Genomic DNA, 22,067 nt, shown 5'->3' with positions numbered 1-22,067 from the left:
GAGTACCAATTATGAATCAAGAATGGTGTTGGGGAGAGTTACACAAAGTGTGCAATTCAATTCTGGGAAGATAATAATAGATCTTTGAAAATCTGACACTGAACACATTCAGTCATAGCACAGTTTCACAGTTAAGACCATGGATTCTTGAGCCAGACCACCTAGGTTTTAATTCTGGCTCTTCCACTTGCTAGCTGTGGTCTTTTTGCCTTATGCCTCAGTTTCTACATCCTTGGATGGGGATACTAATAGTACCGTATTCATAAAGTTACTGTGAGGATTAAATGAGTTACTATTTGTGAAGTTTAGTTAGAGCATTGCCTGACATATAGTGTTACTTAAGTACATACTCACTAAACAAATCCACATGCACTGCACACCTAACTACATAAAAAGACCTTGCTAGAAGCTGTGAACTTTGCTCAAATTGTGCCCTAGAACCTATTATTTAACATGGCAAAAGGAGATTCCTAGTTGTTTGGCTATTTCAAGAAAATGTTCAAGTCCTTGAAAATATCCTCTCCATCTGTGATGACTGAGAACAGATTGTTTAATGAAGAGAAAGTAAGACGACTGCTAAGTTTCCTCATACTGGGCTCACAATGTGGTTACTCCTTCTGCCCTAGGAGCTTCAAACGGCACAGAAGGAAGTGGGGTGTGAGCCTGTTGTCATGGTGTGCACACTATGATTATTTTCAGAGAGAAACAACCATTAAACTCAAGTGTTATTCCTAGGTTTAAGACAGAACACAAAAGCAAAAAACAAATCCAAAGTTTTAAAAGTATCTGCTCTATCAAACTAGAGTCATGGATAGAATTATAATGATGCTCTCTGAGTAGGAGCCTGAGCTGCATTACAAATGTGAAACCTTTTATGAGGACCAGATGGAAACATTAAACGCCTAGAGAATTTGAGAACATGTTAAAAGTGAAAATCCCAATCCAAACACAATGACTATGTCTGATGTATGCTACTGCAAAACCAGAAAATATTTAGGACATAAACTCCTTAAAAGATTGTCTTTCACTGAAAAATAAACAACCCCTAGGAGTTCCCAACTGGTGAACACTTGGCTAAAAAAATGTGGCATGCAAGTTCAGAAAACATCACTTGGACCTGTGTAAAAAGTTATAAGATATAATTCTTGATATTTTTCATTATTATAATACAAAAGGGAAACAATTATAATGTCTTGGTCTCAATTAACAATTATTTCTTAACTGAATATGTAGAAAGAAGAGGTTTTAACTAGGCTAACCTAGAAAACTGCATATAAATTCTTTATGTATCCATCAAAAACAAAAAAAGGTCATTTTTCATTTTGCTAATTTCTATTATACATCTGTTCACATTTTAGAAATATCCTAATTGTCTGACAAATTGTATGTATGTGAGTTTCCTCATAGCCTGAAATTTCAGATGTTACATTATTTTGTCACCCTCTGCCTGCCAATATCCTAGTGGCAAAATAAGGACCGAAATAACTTTGTCCCACCTGTAGTAAAATACAGATGTCTCACAGGAAAAAAAACACTCATTTTTTTAAAACATGTACTTGCCAATTATTTTGCAATATGAATAGGAAATAGTGTCTGTCATCAAAGAGATGAGTCTAATATAATTATTCCTGAAAATTTTCTCTTCTACATAATGCCCTACAAATAAAATTTACCATTGTGATACTCTTTCTTAAAAATATTCATGTTGCTCTTGTTTCACTAGCCTTGCTGTAGCACAGGGTAAAAAGATAGCCATGGTTTTGGTTTATGTACTCACTATGCAGTTACTTTATGAGTGTCCTTTTCATTTCCATTGATTCACTACGTATTAGTGACAAGCAACTCAAAGAAACATAATTCCAATTAAAGAATAAATATTCACTTATTACTGTCCTACAATGTTGAAAATTAATCCAGCTTTCCATCCATAGAAATAGAGCTAAAGAACTCACCAGTTCTTTTTTTTTTTTTTTTGGCAGATGAATGTTTTATTTGTAATAGCAAAAAAACATAAAAACAAATGCTTGTCAACAAGTGAATGAATAAACACATTTTGGTATATCCATGCAATGGAATAGTGTTCAGCAATAAAAAGGATTAACTATGCATACATAAAACAACATGCATGAATCTCAAAGTAATTCTGATGAGTGAAAAAAATAGACAAAAGAGTACACATTATATGATTCCTTTACTTTCATAGGTTACTTCTGTGATCAGTCTTATTCCTCCACAATTTTTCAATGACTTTCAAAATTCCCACTTCCTTGACTTTCTTCCATTTTCTTCCTGTGAGACTTTTTGACATCATGTGATGCCATACTCAGCCTCATCATCCCCACGAAGATTAATCATCTTTCTCTCCTTGCTTCCATCCATAGAAATAGAGCTAAATATCACATGCAATATTGTTGAAGCAAGGAGAGAAAGATGATTAATCTTCGTGGGGATGATGAGGCTGAGTATGGCATCACATGATGTCAAAAAGTCTCACAGGAAGAAAATGGAAGAAAGTCAATGAAGTGGGAATTTAGAAAGTCATTGAAAAATTGCAGAGGAATAAGACAGATCACAGAAGGTTAACCTATGAATGTAAAGTATAGTATTAGATATGGAAAGAAATAAAAATAATATCTACTTAATGCCCATTATGTATGATATTATCTGACTAAATCTTCACAACTATAAAATAAATTAGATAGTATACTAGGTACAATGGGAGGAAGAGACTAGATGAGTTATTTTCCTAAGATTCTACAGCTAGTAAACAATGTAATCACAATATGAATTTAAGTTTTCTTGCTATTAAGTTTAGTATACTTGCCAAATGCCCCTCTTTCTCTTTATAAAGAAAATAATCTCTTATTAAATTTTATATAATATTTTTTAAATTTTAAAATTTATATTTCCAGATAAAATTACTTTGAAAGGCAATAGTTATTTTTACTATTTTATTTATCACATAATATTTTAAATTATCTGTTCACATTTCCCTCTCCCATTCAACATGGGGCCTCAGTGCTTAAAACTGGAAGGTACCCAAACAGTCTGCAACTCATTTGTCTATTTATTCACTTATTCATTCAATAAATATGTATTAACTACCTACCATGTGCTACCATGTGTTCTAGTTTTGAGGATTTAGAAATGAATAAAATAGACAAAGTTCTTTGTCTTCATGGAGATTATATTCTAATTGGAGAGAGAAAAGAGACAGACAATACCAAAGATTAGATAGATAGATGATAGATAGATAGATAGATAGATAGATAGATAGATAGATAGATAGATAAAGATACAGATCATATGGATATGAAATAGATGTAGATATAGAAAAATACATATATATGTAGATATATACATCAGGTGCTATAAAGAACCCAAATCAGGGATAATGATGGTAGAAAGGCAAAGATGTGCACTGCTATTTTTTATAGATGGCCAAAAAGTCTTCTCCAATTAGATGAATTCAAGACACCACCTGAAATAAGAAAAGAAAAGCCCATACAGATATCTGGAGAAAGTTTTTTCTTGACAACAAGAAAAGGCCGAGGTCTTGATAAGAAATCCTGCTTAGCCTGAGAACCAAGTGCAGCAGTGTGGCTGGGATGGTGTGAGGGGAAGGAAAGGAGTTGGAGAAGTAATAGGTAGAGACCAGGGTAGATTTGTAGGCATGGTACATGCACATTGACCCATACTCTGAGTGAAATAGGATGTTGTTAAAGGATTCTGAATAGAGGAATGAAACAACTGATCAGATAATATAAAGGATCACTGTGGCAGCTACAAGAGGAATTAATTGTAAAGGGGAAAGAATGAAAGAAGGGAGATCCAGTAAGATGTTAATTTGATAATCCAGGTTTGAGGTAATGGTTACTTGGATCAGAACAGCGACAGCTGGTGATGAGAAGTGGTGACAGTCTCGCTTCCTTGTGAATGTTGAGCTGATAGGATTTGCTGATGCATTTGAAATGGGAAATATCAGAGAAAAACAGGAATCATGCAAGACTCCAAGATTTCTGACCTGAGTAATTAGAAAAATTGAATTGCATTTTACTGCAATGGAAAAGATTTGGAACATGTTACATCAAGGGCATGGTGTAGGGGGGAGAAAGCCATGATGTCCATTTTGGATGTGCTAAGTTTTGGCTGTCAAGAAGGCTGCTGGAGAGAGACATAGATCTAGAGTTCAGAGGAAAAGTCTGGCTAGAGATATAAATTTGGGAAGCATCAGCATACGGATGTTATTTAGATTGAGATACTTGGCCTAGGGAGTTATTATAGGACAAAAATGAAGAGGTCCACAACCCTCTGGAGCATTCCAATATTTAGACTTGAGGAACATGAGGAGGAACCAACCGAGAAAGAGAAGCCCATGAGGAAGGAAAGACATTCAGTGTTCTGGAGGCCAAGTGAAGGAATTGGTCATTATATTTGGCACATGGAATGTCATAATCTCAGGAAGAACACTTTTAGTGGAATTGTGAGGAGAAAACTTGGTTAGAAGTTTCCAGAAGATGACTGGAGGAGAGGAAACCAGTAGAGCAGTACAATTATTTGGGAGAGTTTTGCTTATAAGGGAGAAATGAAATACAGCAATAGATAGAGGAGTGCCTCGGGTCAAAGAGGGCTTTTTAAAGGGAAATAGCATGTTTATAAATGGATACCATTTAATAGAATGGAAAACTGATGATACAGGAGACAGCGGGGACAAGTGCAAGAGCAAAGCCCTTGTGGGTGAGTACTGATATAATGCAGTGCACAGTAAGGGGTGGCCTTAACCAGGTACACAGATAATTCATCTATAGAAACAGGAAAGGCAGGAAATGGGCACAATCAAGCAGGTGGTTGACAATGCTAATGAATGAATGAATGAGTGAATGAATGGTTTGCAAATACAATGACATGCCTGGACATTCAGCCCATCGTCTATGTTCCATGCCTGGAACATAACCTTTCATCCTCCAAAATACTCCCCTTTGTCTCTTCTCTCTAATGTGCCAAATTCTGTAAGTAGAAATTAATTCTTCTAGTTTAATGGTTTATTCTCCCCAAATTAAACCCCATGAGTCCATTATGTGTAAGAGCAAATGAATTTTACAAGCCTTCCTGGGAGGAAGCTTTTAATAAGGGAACATGTGAATCCAGTAACCCTGGATATTTTCCCACAGGAGCTGGGAGTTGGAAGTTGCAAAGGGGATGGGGCGGGTTGTGTAATGATATACCTCTGTATCTATGGACCTTGTCAGCATATAAAATGTGTTACTCCAAATCAGAACACATGTACTAAATCTTGGTTTATTTCTTTGTAGCTTGTTTACCTGGTATCAATTAATCGACCTTCCTGAGTCTCAACTTTCTCATCTGCAAATGGAGATGAAGACTAAATGATATAAGAAATATATGATGTAATTGTTCTATCATTGCCTAATTTTTATGTGAAAAAAATTAAAATGCGAATTTGTTTCCCTCTGTCTTAGGAGATATTTCCTACCTGCTCACATCAGCAGACTACCTAGCCTATTGCTAGTACACCAGATTCTCAAGTATAGCTCACTACTGATTAATTGCTCAGTATGTCACCATAACAGGGGCAGACTCAAGGCTCACAGCCATTTGGAAAAAGAAGTGGAACCATTGCTCTTCAAACCTGTAGTTTCATAATTAGATCATTTCCACCTGGTAGCAGTGGGAGAGCATTGTATTTTATACTTGTTTTTCATTTGTTTGGTTTTGGTTGGGGGGGGTTGTTTTGTTCGTTTTTCTTGTTCTGTCACCCAGGCTGAAGTGCAGTGGCATGATCTCGGCTCACTGCAAACTCCACCTCCAGAGTTCAAGCAATTCTCCCACCTCAGCCTCCCAAGTAGCTGAAATTACAGGTGCCTGCCACCACACCTGGCTAATTTTTGCATTTTATTAGAGATGGGGTTTCACCATGTTGGTCAGGCTAGTCTTGAATGCCTGACCTCAAATGATCCCCCTGCCTCAACCTCCCAAAGTGCTGGGATTACAGGCATGAGCCACCATGCCTGGCCCTGTATTTTATACTTTTATATATTTTTTTCAGAGTCAAAGTTTCACTCTGTTGCCCAAGCTAGAGTGCAGTGATGCAATCAGGGCTCACTAAAGCCTGGAATTGCTGGGCTCAAGGATCTTCCCACCTCAGCCTCAAGAGTAGCTTGCACTACAAGCACTTGCCACTATGCCTGGCTAATTTATTATTTTTTTAATTTTTGTAGAGATGGGAGTCTCACTGTATTAGTCTATTCTCACACTGCTGTTAGGAAATACCTGAGACTGGGTAATTTATAAAGGAAAGAGGTTTAATTGACTCACAATTTCGCATAGCTGAGGAGGCCTCGGGAAACTTACAATCATGGCAGAAGAGGAAGCAAACACGTCCTTCTTCACATGATTGCAGGAAGGAAAAGTGCAGAGCAGAGCAGGGAAAAGCCCCTCATAAAGTCATCAGATCTGTTGAGAACTCACCCACTATCATGAGAACAGCATGGGGGAACCTCCTCCATGATTCAATTACCTCCCACCAGGTCCCTCCCATGACACATGAAGATTAAGGGAACTATAATTCAAGATGAGATTTGGGTGGAGATACAGCCAAACCATATCACTCACCATGTTGCCCAGGCTTGTCTCAAACTTCTGGCCTCAAGCAATTTTCTCGCCTCAGCCTCCCAAGTGGTTGGAATTACAGGTGCAAACCACCATGCCTGGCTATACTGATATACTCTTAACACTTGTATCTGTGAAAAATTAATCATTTGACATGCCAAATGACTATATACTCTCCTTACCCAGATTAAAGCTCCTTGATGGCATGGTGCCTCATGTTTGCATTATCCAGCAATAAATATCTGTTGGTTGTAATCAATAAAAAACGAAAATACTAGCCACCCATCAGAGTTAACTCACTAAGCGATGTCAATCTGGTGTTTATCCATTGACAAAGGACTAACATACACAAATGCAGCAAAGCTGTAAGAAACCCAAAACAATTATCTTAGCTTTCAGATAACTAAGTACTTGGCAAGAGCATTTTTAGGGTTCATATAAAATACAAAATTCATTAATGTATTTTAAAGCTGAGACACATTTTTGAAAATCTGATACGCATAAAACTTTTTTAGAAACTTTTTTTCCTTTCTAAATGCTTCTGCCATGTTATTTTGCAGAAAGGCAGAGCATTCCGTGAACACTGGTATTGAATATTCATACTATAATACATAAGGTAAGGGTGGTAGAGCAGGTAATTATTAATCCCACTTGACAGAAAAGCTACCAGCATCAAATGAATGCATATGTGCTCCGTGGGCATTAGGGATTCAGCTGGCATTAAAACTCAAATCCCTTGAATCCCAAGCAAGCACTGTATTCATGAAGATAGCTCCTTCATAATATTAGACTCTGCAAAGCTTTATTCAGATGAAGCAGTTGCTTAATTTAATCTACAATTTCCATACAGGTTCCTAAGTCTTATTTTTATTAATTTAGACAGACCCAGAAACTTGGCATGATCCTTGTGAAACCCAAAAGTAGTTTACTTTATTTTTCAATGTTACTAAGCTGTGAGTTGATTTGAATAACCACTTTTCAATGGCAATTCATTTAAATAGAATCCCTGGACTTAAAGATATAACTTTTTCCTGCCTTTAAGTTGCCAAGTGACACAATAGCCTGATCAAAGATTATGTGAGAAGGAAAACTTTCTCAAAGCAGAAGCAATAACCTTTATTTTTGTTTTCATCCTTAAATATTCTTTGAAATGACCAAGAAATAAAGAGCAATTTGATTTAAATGCTGTAAAGTTGTCTGAATAAAGGCAACTTTCACTTCATTATATATTGGTTATATGAGCTTGTTATTATCTTTCTGCAGGAAGCTAAAAGTGATATAAAGACCCGTGGGGTAGATGAGATCTTAAGGTACCACTTAGTCTGTCTCCTGTCTCCAGTCTCTCACTTACATGGTCCCATAAAGCAGAAACTCTTCCCCCTTTTATAAAATAAATCTGGAGCAATGTGTATGGTATTTGATAATATTTATTAATGGGATGCTCTTTACATATACCGAAATACACCTGCGGCACTTAAGTCAAGCTCTTTGATTTTTATATTTTAATGATGGAGTACCCTTACTTTCTGTAAAGTAATCTTTATCTTTCTTTTCCCATGCTTCTCAACCATACTAATTAATATTTGTAAATGTTATATAATCATATAAAATCATATAAGTAGAGAAATCAGTGATATTGTTTTATCTCTTATTTACTGATGAGGAAGTTGATGCTCCCAAAGGTTAAAGAACTACTCCTTCTCCACTCAAAAAATAAATAAATAAATAAACAAATAAATAAACAGTTTGTAAGTGGTGGTGCCAGGAAACATGTCTAGATTCTGTCAATCTAGATCCCTAGGTGCTTTTCCACTGCCTCTCATGAATAAACTTTCTGATATAAACAAGTCACTAGGAGGTTAGATCCCACTAAGGAAAACAACTTCAGAGATGTTCTGGCACTTTGAAAAGACCATTAAATGTTTTTTACGTTAACTTAAAAAAAACAGTGCTTCATTGGTATCTATTAATAGTTTCACTAATGGAGAAAGTATCAAATTCAAGAAGGTAACTGGAATTTTAAAGAAAAAAGATTATTCTATGGTCAAAATCTGCAATTTGGAATGGTCTCTGTGATGAATGAGAGTGATTACACACCATAACACATAAGGATTTATTACTTTTTATTTTATTGTGGTAAGGATAATTAATATGTGCTTTATGATAAAGTCATATCCTATGAAACTAAGTAATATCTAAGTGGTCTAAAAGAATGGATTTAAGATGCACCACATTTGCTCAATGAAACTGATTTAATTAAACCATGTTATAAAGATCTTTAAGTAGTTTACATTATGATACATATTATATAAATTTTACACAAAATCATAAGCTCTCGATACATTAGTGAACTAAGGACTGCTTTTATTACCTGCCATTGGCCAGGGATTATACTAACCATCATACACACATTACTTCATTTAATCTTCATAAAGGCCTAATGAAATACAAGTAGAGTTTTTCTAATTTTTCTAATTTTTCTACTTTTTCTAAGATAGGTTGAATGGTTTGCCCAAAAACAGTGTATGGTAAAAGATGCAGTTAGAAACCAAATGTTGTGCTTTTTGCATCATATCACCTGGCATCCTAAAGTCTCTATGTCGTTTTGATAAATGAGCATGTGAAAGACACTGTTTTATGGGTGAACTCACACCTGGCTGAGCAGGCTGACAGGTAAAGACAACAGCCAGGGTTAATCCCATGAAACTGAAATTTGCATATGAATTTCAACAGTAGACTCTCAGGAGGAAGTCTTGGGCAGTTAGGACCTTAGCAAGAAAGACTTAGATCCCATAGTTTATTTGTCCAGTCTTCTCTGACCTCTCTTCTGGCCTAAAGAATCCTGATGGTGAGATAAAGAATTCCTGTATAAACTGCTGAGGGAATTACAGCAGAAATAAGCCACAGAAGCATGCTCAGATCCTCTGTGCTGCAACAAATAGTCTCAGCTTATTAATTTTGTAGAGGATCAGAAAGGATGGAAGGAGACGTTTTGAGATAAATAAGTTTGATGACACTGGAATTCTTCCAAGGCATTTGTTCACTGAATCCTATATTGGCTTTTAATATGCGGATCCTGAAATAGACAAGGCATCTTCTTATGTTTTGCTTTGTCTTGTTACTTTTAAGCTTATTGGTACAAGTGGATGGAATGACTTCAAAGTGGTTCTCTTCCTATCTCTTTCACAGAGTGAAGATGATAAATGTTTTTTTTTTTTAAATGTATTGATGAGAGCAAAACAAGACAATAAAATTTCTTATCGGGAATGTAAGCTATTCACACTGGGTCTTCTGATAATTAGTGCATTTTAGTATAATTTAGCTTGGTTCATTAGGATATGATTATTACATGACAGCAAATGAATGATACTTTGTTTCTTAGTATACTGAATTGTCACACTGTGGATATTATAAATGTACTTCTTTACTAACCCACATGCACTTTGACTCTTCCAAATTGGCACAGTCCATACATACTGATGCTTTTCAAAAAATAAAAAAAAACTAGTTCCTGCTTTACCAACCAACCCTGACAATAATATGAATGTTTGTGTATGTTTAGAGATTTAGTCAGATAATTAAACAGTAACATCTATTAAACAACTTATAATGCTTGAAGTACTGTTCTAAGTACTTTAATACATTATCTCAAGAAATAGGTAACTCACAGTCTAGGTAGATATTTTTTAAATTAAATTAACATTTGCAAATATCTGAATATAAAACTCTTTTCTCCATTTTGCCAGTTAAAGAATTGAGGTCTAGGACAATTAAATTAGTTCTAGGATTGATCTAAAGTTTCAAGAGCAAATCAAGGTAAAATACTGATACCCAACCTAGCATTCTCAACTCCAGATGAAGTCACATAAAACAAAGATTCACCATGAAAAATAAATTCCAGACAACGTCAAAATTATACAGTGATAGAACCCCAAGTTCTACAGTATACTACATTAAGGCATTATATAGTGTTTCATATATATTATAAAATTATTATAGATTTATTTTTTTAAAAAAACTTCCTTCTTGAGGAAGAAAATTTGAATCTTATAGACATCATCTCTTAGAAACCATTTTAAGAAATGAAAACCAATAATTTATCAGCAAGAAAAATCATGTTATGATAGATGCCTTTAGCCCTCTACTATATTTTAATAGTTTTCTTTTTTAAACCGGTGCTACAAATGTATTCATAACTTGCCAATATGTCAGTGTGCTCTTAAAAATTAAAATATTTGCAAAGTTTATTGATACATGACTTATATAAACAATTTTATTTTACCAAAGAGATAAGGATAGCAAATAAAGACATTAAAAGATGTTCGGTATTACTAGTCATAAGGGAAACACAAATTAAAATCACAGTAAGTTACCACTACTTATCTGTTAGAATGACGAAAATTTAAAAAAAACTTGACAATACAAAATGCCCTCACACATACAGAATAATAAGAACTCTCATATATAGCTAGTAAGACTATAAAGTGGGACATCCATGATGGAAAACAGTTTGGCAGTGTTTTATAAAGTAAAGCATATACTATAGGCCAGGCACGGTGGCTCATGCCTGTAATCACAGCATTTTGGGAGGTTGAGGCAGGCAGATTGCTTGAGCCCAGGAGGTCTAGACCAGCCTGGGCAACATGGTGAAAACCTATCTCTACAAAAAATACAAAAATGAGCTGGGTGTGGTGGCACGTGCCTGTAGTCCCAGCTACTCAGGAGGCTGAGGCACAAGACTAGTTTGAACCCATGAGGCAGAGGTTGCAGTAAGCCAAGATCATGCCACTGCACTCCAGCCTGGGTGACAGAGCAAGATTCCATGTCAAAAAAATAAAAACAAATAACAACCAAAAAAGCATATACTTCACAATACAACCCATCAATGCCACTCTAAGATATTTACCCAAGAAAGATTAGAATATATGTTTACCCAGAAAACCATACATGAATGTTTATATCACCTTTATTCATAATAGCCAAAAGACTGGAAATCCAAATTTTGATCCAGTTGGTGAACAGATAAACAAGTTGTAGTACACCCAATACAAAGGAATACCACCTAATAATAAAAGGGAATAAATTACTAATAAATGCAAAAACACGGATGAATTGTAATAACAGCAAGCTTGATACATGGAAACTGTTTTAAAATAAATAATATTTTTCTTTTGATCCCAAAACTATTGCTCTCCATCGAAATGTGCTCTCTTCAACATAAAGAAAACATATATATGATTTTATACACAGAAAGAGACAAAGAGGTAAATAAGAGAAACCACTAACAATTAGTATATCTAGGTAAAAGGTGTTCATTGTACTATTCTTTCAACTTTGAAATTTTAAATGTTCACTACCAGTGATGTCTCCCTGACCCACAGTTGCTTTCATCCTCCTCATTTATCCTGCTGCCATTCCTGGACATATTAGATGAAGATGATTTTAATATTATAAATTATCTGGAAATGTCTGTGACTTTATCAAGCACAACTAAACAGATTTCTTTTCTCCCTCTACTCATTTAACTCTTAAACTGGTGGTTTTCAAGTACTTGGAGATTATAGAATTTGTGTGAGAATCCTCCAAAATTCTCCAAGCATATAATCATCCATGTTGCTTTGTTCTGACCGAGAACCAGGAAACAGATCATCACCACCCTCTTTTTCGAGGAATCTCCAAATGGCTCCTAGATCACTGATTTTCCAGAAAATACAGTTTGAAAGAAGCACTCTTTGAAGCTACACTATCCTCCATCCCCTGACTTCCAATCTGCATAGTTTGCAATAAAGCTGAGTTTTGAGAGGTATAGTTTGGAAGAGGAGGACAAGCCTTGGTCTGTCAAGGGAGCACATCATCTCATAGGCATTCTCTTTACAAAGGTTTTGAGAAGCAGTCATCCTCATTCTCCCTAAGTTCCAGGAAGAAGCAACCTGAGAAGTTGAGTTATTTTTCATTTCAACCTAAAGTACACAGTGGTATTCAAACATATTTATGTCAAACAAATTACTACCAGTGACAGAGGTCCCCAACCTCCTAGTTCAGGAAAGAAAAAATGAGGCAGAACCAAGTGAACAGTTTCCCTCTCAGTGACGTCTTTTCTAGAGTACAAGGGTTATTAACTTGCAATTTCCTCACTCTGCAAGTCATAGACTTCTTACTTCCAAGTTCCCTGGGGAAATCCTATTAAAAGCTCAAATTGCTGTAGCTGCTGCTAGAGTTAATATTGTAAATGTTGCATCAGTGGAAAAATATAGATAATTAAGCATTCTAATGTACACTATGTAAATATTTTGAAGGCAAAATAACAAGTAGATTCCCCCATACAACACTTCTCCTCAGGCATTTGGTGAGAGATATGTAGAGCTTTCCTGAGCTGATGCACCAACCATGCTACTTGATGAATGAAGAAAAACCAAATAAATAATTGTACAGTGCTACAGACAAATATTTACTTTACAGCACTACAGACTAGGAGGTATGATTTGTACATGGTGACTTAATTAAATAGGCTACTATGTAAAGCATTTAGGCTCTAGTGAGATATTATAATTAAATCTATACCTGCAATATCATAGAATACAATATAGGAAGCAAGCTGCAGTAGCTCTACTGACAGAAAGAGAGCACAGCTATTGAGAGATGATTGGAGAAGAATGCTTATAGAGTAAGTATCAACAAAGCTTCCTTTCCATTTCCATCATATCAAGCTATAGGAAAAATGCTCATAGAATAAAGAGCAGGAAACAGAAACCATATTCATTCTTTATTTCTTCAACAAGTATTTGTTAAATGACTGCCTTTCTTGTATGCTCTGAGGATACTGAAAACAAGACAGAATCACTGCCCTCATGAAATTTAGCAGGGATGGCAGATGATGAAAGGATAAGACAATATAACAAATAAGCATGTCTATAATGTATTTTCAGGTAATAATAAGTACCAAAAAGACAAGGAAGTAAAAGGCGAAAGGGTGCTATTTTAGATAGGGAGGTCAGCAAAGGCCTCTCCGGATAGTGATACCTGGAGATAGTAGAATCCTGAATGGACATAAGGAGAAACCGTGTTAACATCCAGGTACTTTTCTTCCAGGCAGAAGAAAACCAAGTGCAAAGGCCAGAAGTGAATACAGGCTTAGTTTGCTGAACAACAGAAAGCAGGCTCACAGGGCTGGAGAACAGGAGAGGAGGTTGGAAGCAGCCTGGGGCCAGATAATGTAGGGCCTGAAAACCATGGTAAGCGTTTGAGATTTTTTTCTAAGAAATCGCTTAAATGCTTCTAGCATAATGTTGCAAGTGCATTGACAGTGATGTTAGAGAAGGAAGCACTATAAACATCCAAGGAGAAAAACTGAGAGATAACAAAACAGAAAGGAATGGAAAGAGAACGCAAGTGGGATTTAGCAAAATGGGTTTAGCCTTTAGCAGAAAGGCAGCTGGCAAGCTTGCTGGGCCACCTTCCGGCATGTGTCCTGGGGGTTGTCACCATTACTTTGCAAAGCCCTTTTTACTGTAAGTATTTTAAAAATCCAATATATTGAAGACTTGATGACACTAAAAGGCCAGGAAAACACTATTTATAGATGTACTGATAAAATGCTTGCTCTGATTAAAGCAACAGACTCAGGCTATGAGGCATAGATTTCTACTGCCATTTGATTCAGATTGTGGACTAAGATAATATCTGCTTTTTTTTTTTTTTTAACCCACTAGGAGTCTGCACTTAAAGTAAAATACAAAGCACCTCTAGTAAATTAGGACTGAGCTAATAGGGTTTTCCTCAGATACACACATCCTCCTATGCACCTTTGCTGATTGTTTGATGCATGTGGGGGTATTGTACCAGCTAGTACTATCTACAGCATCATGGTGTAAGTGATAAATGCAAGAGACACCAAGTTCACATGCTTTCCTCCCAGTTTCCATAAACCATAATTTGTTAAGTCATAAAACATGTCATATGCATAGTTTTCAATGTTACGGGATATACAAAATAAGTAGAAGTCATTATCTCTCAAATGCACATTGTCCCTTTTCCAGTTACCTTTAAGCTCCTTGTCCTCTAATCCATTCTCTACCTGACCTGCAAAGTACCTTTCCAAAATAAAAATAATACATGGCAATCCCCTTCTCATAACCTGTCGTGGCTCCTCACCGAGAATGGATGGGCTAAAACTCCAACTCTTGTTCATGATATTGGAAGCCCTAGCAAATGGCTCCAATCTGCTGGCACAGTCTTACTTCCTAGCTTTCCCACCTTGCATCCTTAGGCTGAAACCCCAGTGAACTATGTGTATTTTCACTCGTGCTCAGAGTCAAATCCCAACTCAGCTGTTTATTTTCTGTGTAAACTTGAACAAATTACTTGTCCTGTCTGACCTTTATTCCTTTTCCTATAAAATGAAAATAATATAATAGTATATAACTCAGGGGGTTTTATATGCTTAAATGAGTAAATACATTTATAATTAATATCCAACACATTATATAAGTGCTGAATATATTAGAGCTATTATTGTTATTATTTGTTAACAGGATTTCCTAATTATTGCTCCCTTGGCCAAAAAATACCTTTCCTGCCCACTTTTCTCCTAGAAAACTCCTATTCATTTGTCACAACCCCACACAAATGTCATCTCTTCTCGAAACTTCCCTTAACACATTGACTCACTCTCTAGTGGTAGTTATTTCTTCTGTGCCCTCATGACAAGTTGAACAACATGCTTCAGTAGCATTATTCCCACACCATTGGTTAATTATTATTGCATAAGTTTGTCTTCCAGCTAGTATAGGAGTTCTTTGAAGACAAGGGCTTTTTCTCATTTTGTGTCTCCTAAGCCCAGATCAGAGCCTGGTGCATAGTAGGCTCTTAACAACTGTTTTGTTCAAACAAATGTTGAATCAATAAACATGTAAAGACAGACATCTCTCAAAAAATTTCCAATATTACCAGGATAGAATTCAAGGCAATTGATCAATATTACTAGCACAGATTCAGTAGAGTTAGCTAACAAACTAGGACTAAGTTGTATAATACAGCAAGCATGTCGGCAGTTCTAAGGTCAATCATATGCCATATTCACTGTTTTTTTTCCTATTCTCCACTTAATCCAGTGTTGTCTTGCCAAATATAAGTCCCTTTAGAGTACTAACTATGGCTTTTAAAACTTTTGTATTCAAATATTAGATAGACAAGTAAAGACTTCATAAACCTTTGTTAAAACGAGAAAAGATTTCCAAGATACAGGTAAAACTAAACGAGAAGAAGGAATACAAGCCTCTTTTCTCCTACTAACTTCTAATTACAAAAATATTGTTTCCTGTGTGCAAGCATGGACAGAGAGATAGAGGGTAGTCCTCACAAATACAAGAAGAGAGCTCCAAAAAGGAGCAGCAATGCAGCAGGGTGGGGGGCGGGGGTGGGTCAGGGGGGTGCAGTGGGCCCAGGATATATTCAAGACCATTGCAGTAGCTTTCTTCAGAGAGCATCAAGTTGCTAATGATGAAAGAGAACTGACGACTGAAGTTGGGATATCAACAAAGAAGGGAAGGTTATAAAAGCTGGACACTGTGTGACAAGTACCAGGCAAGCACAGGCAGGCCATACAGGCCAAGTAGGATAACACTGTGCTTCATAAGTTGTCATCCCTGATGTGGGATTGGGGATAAATACTATGCTGACCTGAGAACTCTGGCAGTAATTTTCCAATTCAGTAATTCTGAAGGTTCCATTGACACTTTGCAACTTATTACATGTTTCATATCTATATTTTCTCATATCGTCTAACAAAGAGTATGGTATCCACTTTTGGGTTTCAAAATTCAAAGAAAAATTTTGAAATTTGAGATAGTGATTCAGAGTCAAAATAATGATGAATGGAGTATAAACACCTATAAGAAGCTAGAGCAATTCAAAATACTTTTGATATCTGCAGCAGGTAATATTGAAAGGATCATGAATTTGGAGTATACTTATATTCCAAATGAAACTTAAATGGGATAACATATGCAGACATTCTAGTAAAAAACTTAAAATATAGTAGGTGTTGGAATACATGTGGGTTGAATCAGATTTTTTTTCTCTTCTTGCTCACAGCAGTGCTCAATTACATATGTTGAGTGAATGAAAAAGAAAACGCTGGCACCAGTTAATAATGATCTTCAGATTCATGCAGGCTCTTACGCATCTTTTTTATTAATAATATCCACTGAGGGGAAAAAAGATTATATATAATATATAAATAATATAGATAAATCATAACAAATAATTTTCTAGTACCTGGACTATAAAGTAGTAAGATTGTATACTAAGTGAGATTTTAGAATTATTTTCTCTAGAGTCTTAAAAGTAGGGCAGATTCCCATATGTTAAAGATGGAGTAATTGTGGTCCTGCCCAAGGGTAAAAGGAAGCAATGAGATAATCATCCAAATTCCTTCCAGATTTAGGATTTTGTAAATACTCTGATTAGTGATAACACATTGAATATCCACATTTCCCCCAGATATTTTTAAATAGCCCAGAGTCAGAATTTCATAAATATTTCTTAAATCTTCTGCCATTAGTCCACAGTTCATAATTTGGGTTTTTAAAGCCAGAACTACACATCCATCTGACTGAAATATGAAATCTACAAATAAAAACTGTTTAGTGGGTTTGCATATAAACTGCATCCTCTGCATTGTTTAGCTTCATCATGAAAATTACTTTAATTTCAATGCTGGAATCAAAACAATCCAATCTTCTTAAAAGAAGCCTACTGTCTACTGTAAAGTAATAACATGTTTTTAGAGACTTCTAAGTGCATATCTTGGAATTTCTAACTTAAGTGCATGGTTTGGAAAAATACCAATTGTTGATCGTGAAAGGCTGGTTACATTTCACTATGACAAAGAGGCAAAAATAAAGTACTTATGCTCTTATTTCCTCATATAACCATTTCATCTATGTAAAAAAGCACATGAAATTTTTTGGAAACTCAAGAAAGAAAAGTTTATTATTCTCACGAGTCTTAGAGACAGGAGGTAGAGCAGACCATACAGAGCCATCTATATTCATTGGAAAGACGTTAGGGTGCTCAAGAGACAAAAAGGCGAAGCAAGGGGAAAGCATGAAGCATTAGGCTAGAGACTTTATCGGGGTTCCCCGGGAAAGGCAAAATTTTTAAGATTTGAAAAAGTCATAAAAATATGTAAGATACATGTCTATTTTCTAGAAAGAGATTTTCATTGCATGTTGTATGAAAATAAATTTGAAAAATGTTAAGCATGTATTCAGATAAAACAATAGAAATAAATATAAATAAAGACTTAGTCATGAGCTGAAAACAAACTGTGAAACTGTTTTACTAAGAAACATCAGAAGGGGAATGTGTGAGTTGAAAGAAAAAAGGGTGAAAATGAATCATAGTCAAAACTAAAGTTATTTCACAAGTTTAATGATTAATGAATTATTTTAATCTATATTATAGAGCATTATATCAAAGTCCTATTTTTTTTGGCAATTGTAACATTTTGTTTTAACTCAACTAAAAGAATATCATCTTATTAGCGTAGGTAACTTCAGATACCATTTAATTGTTCCTTTTGCTGCCAGAAAATTTGTATAATGCATGAGTAAAACTAGCTCTTTAATCATTTTAAAATTGGGGTTCTTTGGAAAAGTAAAAAACTCCAGTATTTATAGCTCTATGTTCTTAGCACATCAAAAATCTATTATAAGAAAAAGAAAGGTCACACTATTGTGTTCAGAACCAAAACTCTACATAAAGAAAAATATTACCAAGGGTTTAAGAAGACTTATCATTATCTAAAAATTAGCTATCTAAAATTAAATATCCTTTTGGTTAAAATAGCAATTTAATATTAACTCAAGAAAAAATGTGCATCTATTAATTGTGTATTTTCTGTATATATTATTTTCATAACTAATATCTTCCCTATTCAGTTATACTACTCAGCAAACTATAAGAAAATACATACATGTTAGGGGTGGGATAAAGCACAAAAGAGAGGACTTCTTCAAGTCAGTACATCCTTATACATAAACCTTCCCTTTATACAATGTTACCATCATTAGTAGGCTTTGAAAGACTAACCACGTGTATTCTGCAAATAAGAGATTACAATTAAACAACATGATGTAATACATCAAGAAGATGACCAAAGAAAATCTGCAATAAAGCCATTATATGAACAGTCCATTGTCAGAAAGCAAGAATAAGCACATCATATATGCCAGGCAAAGTATGTGTTGGCTAAGCATGTGGTATCTATCAAAGGCAAGCTATATATTTCTAGGCGTAACTTTAATTTGCCAATGCACTATACAGTAGATTAAGCAGACAAACATTTTAGATAAGTAGAAAATAATTCAAGTGAATATTAATTTTTAAAAATCAGATCTCCTCAATTTATAATGTTGATTGGCAACCCAGCATGTAGTCACAAAATCACTGTGTTAGAATTGCCTTTAAAATGTACATGCTCCCTATATTGCTATGGTCCCTGCTAGAAAAAACTAAGGTACAGCTACTCAATTTTTAAAGGTACCTTAATCTGAAAGAAAATATAGCCTCCAAAAAAATCTGAAGTGGCCTGGCTTTCACAGTAAAAGTGATTTAATTTCATCGTGTTTTTTCCTTACATTTCATCATTATACTGTTTAAGGACGTTACCCTACTATATTTACATACCTTGTAAACATGTATATTAAAGGTGGCAGGCTCAGTGCAAGTTTTACAGAGGGTTCTTGAATTTATTTGCTGGGTATTTAAAAAATAGCTATAAATTTTAAAGTCCATTTTTTTAAAAAAAGAAGCTCTTAAAGATAACAGCATTTTGGAATCAAAAATTAAAGTAACTGACCATGCAATTTCAGAAGTGGGAACTTAGTTTTCCCTTTCCTTAAGTATTGTAAAGATAAGTCAATAAATCAAAAACTCACTGGTTTATATGCTATAAACATGATGGTACAATACATTAAGTTAGACTTTATACATTATCTTAAAAATAAGTTAGAACTAAGATTAAAACACTTATTCATGTCCCAAAATTATTTTTTTAAAATCACTAACAATCACAAAACAAAAAAGTCACCTACCACCTCAACAGATATGAAACAAAAAACTGACTTTAAAAATTCATTTATTACTCGACTTACCTAGAATTAGCTATGTATTCTGATAAGCAGTAATTTTAAAGACTCTACAGTTAAAAGCATATTTTATCTGGAAAAAGCTAGTAGCACAATGACAATTTAGCACACAGTGCATTTATGTACTCTTCATCTGACCTGGTCTCCATTCATTTCACACTTGCAGTATGTTTTAGGAACAAAACTCAAATGTTCCATTTTCTACACTGCTAGATCACTGGTGCTAATGCGAGAATCTGAAAAGCACTGTAGATACCTCCAAGTCTTATCTTACCATGTATGAGCCACAGTGAAGCGACGACGCTGCCGAATGCTTTTATTCACCAGCAACTTTCTGAAAAAGCATGGTGAGTTCCTTGGTGAACTGCGTGGAGAAATTTTAGGAGATGTAGGTCTGTTTCCTGGTAATCTCGGAAGCTCAAGTTCTAAATGCATTTGCTCCTTGAAAGTCTTTATGCAAACCTCAGGTTCAGAAGCAGTAAGTTCCTTTGAAGAATCTTTTGCTGTCATGTCTTGTAAGGAGTGCTAGCTTTCACCATCCAAAACAAAAATCTCAAACATAGCAGAGACACTGCTGCAGGTCAGAAGACTGATAAGTCTGCAAACTATTTCCAGTTTAATTTACGAAGCTGTGACTCCAATGTATGAGCGTCTTAGAGCAAGAGCAGCATACTCGAAGAATAGCAAGTCAGGCTGTCACAAGGAGCTTTATCAGGCTGGCTTTGCCTCTGAAAATGCGCCAAAGTGCTTCCAATGTCAGTAGCCTCCTTGTGGATGAGGTTTGTCTGCAAGCTACACACTGACACTCACTGAATTCATTCAGCTGAATATATCAACTCATGAAATATTCATAAAGGCTTTTGATAAATCCTTTACATGCATTTTTTTAAAAAAAATCTTATTAAACAAGCTGCATTCACTAATGGATAGTAAGCAAAACCTAGTCACTTGTTTTGTTTGCACAAAGAGCAGACCCAGAATCCGTCCAGCATGTGTAATGTTTAAAGTCTTCATTCAGAATTATCTTGCTCTGTAATGCACACAACAGTAACTCCACCTACCAAATGCTATTGGCCCAGGATTATTTAAACAATTGCACTCTGTTTCCCCCTTAACAACACCCTTCATCGCTTTAGATTTCCACAAAATTTGTGAGGCTAACTGTCTTCATCACAGTAAAAACTGATTAAATCCAGGATTGTCAAAAAAAGCTAGCTAAAATAGCCTTCTGAATTCCATTTTTGAATGAAAGAGCTGATTTGCTGAAGTTTTTTTTTCCTCCCTTCTCCAGAAGATCCAAAACAGCATCAATATAAAAAATGTCAGCGAACAGGAAAACATTGGATTTGGTTCATTCCCCCAAGGAATTTAATGCCCAATCTTTATTACAATAAACATTACCCTCATTCTTCTGTTTAAGCTCATTGTTCATGGGTTGCCAACAGCAGCCACTCTATGCTAGATGCACAGCCACTTTGACAGCAAAGCTCACAAAACTGGAATGAAGGTAACAACCAGGAAAAATGAATACTCTCAGTTAAAGCACAGAGTCCAAAGTCAAGCACTATGCATGTGTTTGTGTGTGTGCAGATAGGTGTACAAGATACTGTATGCTTGTGTGTGGGCATATACATTTGAGAGTGGGTGTATTCTTTGTTCACAAAGAATGCAAGTGAGACTTACGGACAGGCGAGTCCAAAAAATGCCTCAAGTCCAAAAGCAGATCACTGTAACCTAACATGTAGATATATATTGGAATACAGCTTCTATACTTTAAAAGGCATATGAGGAAGTAGAAACAATATAGTGGTGCTTGAAGTTTCTGGATGTTATGAAAAGTCTATACCGGCAATGATTGTCACAAGGGCCAGCCTGATCTCAAATAAGTTTGACAAAGCAGAACTAGGGCTCATCAGCAAGATCAGCAAGAGTGACAGAAAAGAAATGATTCTCGGTAAGACTTCAGTGAAAAAGAGAGACATTTAATTCTCCCACTAAGATGTGAGAGATGTCTTCTACGCTTATAAAATCATTTGGGCTGAGCGTGGTGGCTCATGCCTGTAATCCCAACACTTTGGGAGGCCGAGGCAGGCGGATCAGTTGAGGCCAGGAGTTTGAGACCAGTCTGGCCAACATGGGGAAACCTCGTCTCTCCTTAAAAAAATACAAAAATTACCCAGGCTTGACGGCACACACCTGTAATCCCAGCTACTCAGGAGGATGAGGCACGAGAATCACTTGAACCAAGCAGGTGGAGGTTGCAGTGAGCCAAGATCACGCCACTGC

At 35.6% G+C, this 22,067-nt stretch overlaps 1 protein-coding gene across 5 annotated transcripts in view, besides 1 other annotated feature; it reads right to left on the bottom strand.

Moving 5' to 3' along the window:
• Nucleotides 1-22,067, bottom strand: part of PDE4B (phosphodiesterase 4B) — a 582,070-nt gene that overhangs the window by 361,382 nt on the left and 198,621 nt on the right. The window contains exon 1 of one of the 5 annotated variants that reach the window (NM_001037340.3): nucleotides 20,056-20,463. The exons of the other annotated variants lie outside the window; for them this stretch is intronic. Within the exon in view, the coding sequence (NP_001032417.1) occupies nucleotides 20,056-20,291 (236 nt within the window). The 5' untranslated portion in view covers nucleotides 20,292-20,463. Of the gene's footprint in view, nucleotides 1-20,055; nucleotides 20,464-22,067 lie in introns of those variants that run through there. 5 annotated transcript variants of the gene reach the window in all.
• Nucleotides 9,048-9,630: an enhancer, noted in NCBI's record as "NANOG hESC enhancer chr1:66469251-66469833 (GRCh37/hg19 assembly coordinates)". NCBI's record gives its function as "activates a minimal SCP1, AML or CMV promoter by ChIP-STARR-seq in naive H9 embryonic stem cells {active_cell/tissue: H9 hESC(naive)}" and the evidence as "EXISTENCE:reporter gene assay evidence [ECO:0000049][PMID:30033119]".

The sequence above is a fragment of the Homo sapiens genome, chromosome 1 (assembly GCF_000001405.40).
Source record: "Homo sapiens chromosome 1, GRCh38.p14 Primary Assembly".
NCBI classification, from domain to species: Eukaryota; Metazoa; Chordata; class Mammalia; order Primates; family Hominidae; genus Homo; species Homo sapiens.
Note: the sequence above shows the minus strand (reverse complement) of the source record. Positions and strands in the feature narration are given on the sequence as shown.